We start from the raw sequence: 4,928 nt of genomic DNA, 5'->3' as shown, positions 1-4,928 counted from the left end.
GATACATCAAAGCAATGGTCCCTGTCATCCCATAAAGATCTGCAGAGCAGGTTATCTGAACCAGCCCTAAGCACATGTCTGTGGATTCCATTGACCACACATTTCTTTTCCAAACCAGAACATCAGGACCTGTAAGGGAGGTAAAAAAAACTTTTAGAGATTAAGGTCCCTGCAAACTGAAAATAAAATCAAATTTGTTGCTTTATCCTGCTCCCCAACACCTCTTCCAAATTTTTCATGTATTTAATTATTTGTGGCTTATGTATATATGTGTGTATTTAAGTTTCACTTGCTTCACAAATGATTTTTATGAAGCTTGTTCTCACTTCTCATGGAAAGCAGACTAATTCCAGCTTCCAGAGCAATTCCACCTTCCGCACTGTGTACTGCCACAGAAGGAGGTGCAATAAGGAGCAATAGGAACCAAAAAGCATTTAATTATCACAACAATATCCCTCTTAATTTGACTGCTGCACAGCTGTCAAAGAAATTGCCTAGAAAAATAGGAAACGAATTTAGCGTAGATAGAAAGCTGAAAGGCATGAACAGATCAGGGCATCTCTTTTCTGCTTAACAGCAAGACAATGAGTCATTAGCAGCAATAACCAGCCAGTTCTCTCTCTTTTTTCCTGCCTGATGCTCACAAACCCCCTTTCTTGTGGAAATGCAGCTGTAAGGCAAATTAACGGAAGAGGAACTGATGAATAGAAATGAAAGTGGCAGCCTCCAAAAAGCAGAATACTGCCATTGACTTTGGAGTAGATGGTTATGGATTAGCAAATTGTATAGCTTGTTAAGTTCTATGAATCTACTCCAAGGTGGTGATATCAAGCCATCCCCACTCTTTTGAATGATTCTTCCGCTCTGTCAGGGGTGTATTGTGCTCTTAGACCTTGTTTTTTCTTTACTTCTACTGCAGTTCCTCTTCCCCTGTAAGTTTCCACAAAGTTCAACGTTCTGCTAGAGTCTGTGTGCTTCAACTCCACTCCATCTGATGGAGGTATCTCTCTTTTCCAAATTCATAGCATAAGTTACGTATACCAAGCACTTGCCAAATATGTAAGCATTTTTGACATATATAGTTGTCTTGTAATGGGATTTAATTTTTACCAGTTTTACTTAATTCCCTAACTATGATACAAACTTTCTTAAAGCTTTGCACTGTGTGTTTTAGAAAATTCTGATAGTTTCCAGCGGGCTTCCTCGAGGACCAGCTCAAAAAGTATATTTTCTGTGAAGGCTTGCTCAAGCAGTAGGGTGAGATTCATGGCTTCCCATTTCACCATTGTGAACTTGAACAGTCCTTCTGAAGTTGGAAATGAGAAATAATTGCATTTTTCTTAAATGCTTAAAGATGTCAAAGTTTAAAGTTGGTAAAGTAGAATGATTCTTGGCCACAATTTAAGGCTAACACCTAGGGAAAGCATGTAGTAAATGACAAACTATGATTTAATGGGCAGCTAGTCAATGAAACACAGAGGCTTGCAGACTTGGAAGCGGGAGGTGAAGATAGAACCAATGTGTTCCATTGGCACACAGGTGGCATCCACTAAAAGAAGATCCTGCTGTTTATCTTAGGACCATGTTTCCATGAACAGCAGTCCACTTACAATTAGACACCATGATCTAGTTGGGCCATATCTCAGCTAATGCAGGAGAATTTTCTCCTTCCTATTTCTTCATGGTACATAAATATATGAGCTTAGAAATGGCCACACACACACATACACTTGTGTACTTACACACATACATATATGTATACTCTATATGGTCATTCTGTGACTTAATCAAATTGAGATTGAGTTTCTGTGATAATACCACCTTTCTCCCCTCAAAGCATATTTGTTCAACCACTAAGTACAGTAAGTCATTTTCTCCCATTGCTTGACAGTTTACGTTGTTTGATTACAAAATTTCAATGATTTTCTTTTATCTCTGAAAATATGAACAATTTTATAGCTTTTTAATATGCAGCTTTCATGTAGAGTAATTCTCTATATATCATAGGCACACTAAGATAAAAGAAAGCATCCTAGATCATTTACCCTCTAAATCATGGTTTTGTTTTGTTTTATTTTGTTTTGAGATGGAGTCTCGCTCTGTTGCTCAAGCTGGAGTGCAGTGGTGCAATCTCAGCTCACTGCAACCTCTGCCTCCTGGATTCAAGCGATTCTCCTGCCTCAGCCTCCCATGTAGCTGGGACTACAGGCATGTGCCACCACACCTGGCTAATTTTTGTATTTGTAGTAGAGACGGGGTTTCTCCATGTTGGCTAGGCTGGTCTCGAACTCCTGACCTCAGGTGATCCGCCTGCCTCCGCCTCCCAAAGCACTAGGATCAGAGATGTGAGCCACGGCACCCAGCATTAAGTCATGTTTTTTAAAACTTCTTGTTTAAAACAAATCACAAAAAAAAAAGCAAGTGTCCCTTCTCTGAGAGCATACTGCTAAATTACACATTGAATTATAGTTCACAGGATTTAGTAGACCCTCAGTATTCAAGAATGTTAATATTTGTGGTTCTAAATACTTACAAGCTTTGGGAGGCTGAGGAGGAGGGGGTCACCTGGGGTCAAGAGTTCAAGACCAGCTTGGTCAACCTGGTGAAACCCCGTCTCTACTAAAAATACAAAAATTAGCCAGGCGTGGTGGCTCACACCTATAATCCCAGCTTCTCGGGAGGCTGAGGCAGAAGGATCTCTTGAACCTGGGAGGCAGAGGTTGCAGTGAGCCGAGATGGCACCATTGCACTCTAGGCTGGGTGACAGAGTGAGAATCCATCTCAAACAAACAAACAAACAAAAACTTACAAGCAACCCTGAACCCTGAAAGTCTGTGACCTGTAACTATTTATCATTTTATCTGACACACAATTTTGACTTTTGAGAGTTATGAGCCTGGCATCCAGAATCAAATCATTTAGGTAATCAGTGAGATTAACCAATGCTCAGCACTGTTGTTTCAACATGACCTCATGGTTTTCTACTTGCTACAATTGCCGTATGTGATGATTCCTATTAAGTAGGTGTCTTAGTTCATTCTGGCTGCTATAAAAAAAAAAATCCCATAGACTCATAGCTTATAAACAACATAAATTTATTTCTTACAGTTTTAGAGGCTGAGAAGTCCAACATCAAGGTGGTGGCAGACTCAGTGTCTGGTGAGGGCCCTCTTCCTGGTTCATAGATGGCCACGTTTTTGCTGTGTCCTCACATGGTGGAAGGGGCAAGGGCTCTCTCTGGTGTCTCTTTTGTAAGGGCACTAATCCCATTCATGAGGGCTCCACTCTTCATGTAATCACTTCCCAAAGGCCTCATCTCCTAATACTATCCCACTAGGGATTAGGCCTTACTTGTGAATTTAGGGGAACACAAACATTCAATCTAGAGCAGTGGAATAATAATACTTCCACAGTCTAGGACATCTTAAATTCCAAGGCTCTCTTATTTCTCTTGTTATTGGAAGGTAAGTTCCTGTAGTGTAAACATATTAGGCTTTAGCGCTATGGTAACCCCTGGTGCTTAGCACACTGCCTGGAATACACATATTAGAAAACTAACCTCAGCCTCCAAAAGACACACAGTGGTGCTCACATGCACATTTGTGCACACACACTCCCACATAATCTGTATATAATAGAACCATGATTTCAAAATAAGCTGCTCTTTTGGAATCTATGTGCCTCTGCTTTATTCCATTAGGATGGACTATTGAGAATTGATTTAATATTGCCAGGTATGATCATTTGCATTGCTTAGCATGTTATAGGGCTGTGGTTCTCAAACGTAGCTGTATGTTAGCACTACCTAGGAAGTTTTATAAAAATCAGGTGTTTAGGCTCTACCCCAGATCAAATAGTCAGGTTCTCTGGGGACAGGACCCAGACATTAGTATTTTTAATGCTTTCCAGGTGATTCCAATATGCTGCCAACGTTGATCACTGCTGTAGTAGAGATTCTCTCATAACAAGTGGAAAGAAACATAAAGGCAACATCTGGTGTGCTGGAAAGAATGCTGAAGAGAACCTGGATCTAAGCTCCAATTCTACGTACAAGCTGCCTGACATTAGGCAGTGATCCGGCTGCCTGCTCCAGTGTAAAAACTACCCCCAAAATCAGTAAAGTAAAACAACAACCATCTCATTATGCTCAGAAATCCCATGGTTAGGAATTCAAATAGTTCACTGTAGGCATGGCTTGTCTCTGCTCCAGAATATCTGAGGTCTTGGTTGGGAAAACTTAAATAGCTGGGACTGGAATCATCTAGAGGCTTCTTCACTTACTTGTTGGCTACCTGGGCTGGGGCTCAACTGTGAGAACCCTGGGCTGTGTACTGGTTCCTCAATGGCGTGGGCTTCTTTATGGCATGGCAGCCTCAGGATAACTGGACTTTCTACACGGCAGCTCAGGGCTTCAAAAGTGAGTACTATTTCTTTCCTTCCTTCCTTTCTTTCTTCCTTCCTTCCTTCCTTCCTCCCCTCCTTCTTCCCTCCCTCCCTCTCTTTCTTCTTTCCTCTTTTTCCCTTCTCTCTCTCTCTTTCATTTTTTGTTTTTTTTGACAAAGTCTTGCTCTGTCACCCAGGCACAATCATGGCTCACTGCAACTTCAACCTCCCAGGCTCAAGTGATCCTCCCATTTCAGCCTCCTAAGATGCTGGGACCACAGGCGCACACCACCACACCCAGGTAATTTTTTGTTATTATTATTTTTTGTAGAGATGAGGTCTCATTGCATTGCCCAGGCTGGTCTCAAACTCCTGCACTCAAACAATCCTCCTGCCTTGGCCTCCCAAAGTGCTGGGATTACAGGCAAAAGCCAGTATGCCTAGCCCAAAAGTGAGTATTTTAATCAAGGTAGAAGCTGAATGGTCTTCTACAACTCAGCCTTGGAAGTCACATAGCATCACTTCCAGGATAACCTATTGATGAA

General features: G+C 41.4%; 1 long non-coding RNA gene across 1 annotated transcript; it reads left to right on the top strand.

Annotated features, from left to right (window-relative positions):
• The first annotated feature begins 916 nt into the window (after window positions 1–916).
• LOC107987031 (uncharacterized) lies at window positions 917–4,620 on the top strand. The gene is made up of 3 exons (XR_001746571.1): window positions 917–1,000; window positions 3,910–4,417; window positions 4,581–4,620. It is a non-coding gene; the product is annotated as an uncharacterized LOC107987031 (long non-coding RNA).
• Window positions 4,621–4,928: the final 308 nt, after the last annotated feature.

Source organism: Homo sapiens, chromosome 9 (assembly GCF_000001405.40).
Source record: "Homo sapiens chromosome 9, GRCh38.p14 Primary Assembly".
NCBI lineage: Eukaryota > Metazoa > Chordata > Mammalia > Primates > Hominidae > Homo > Homo sapiens.
This window is presented reverse-complemented; position numbering and strand designations above follow the sequence as displayed.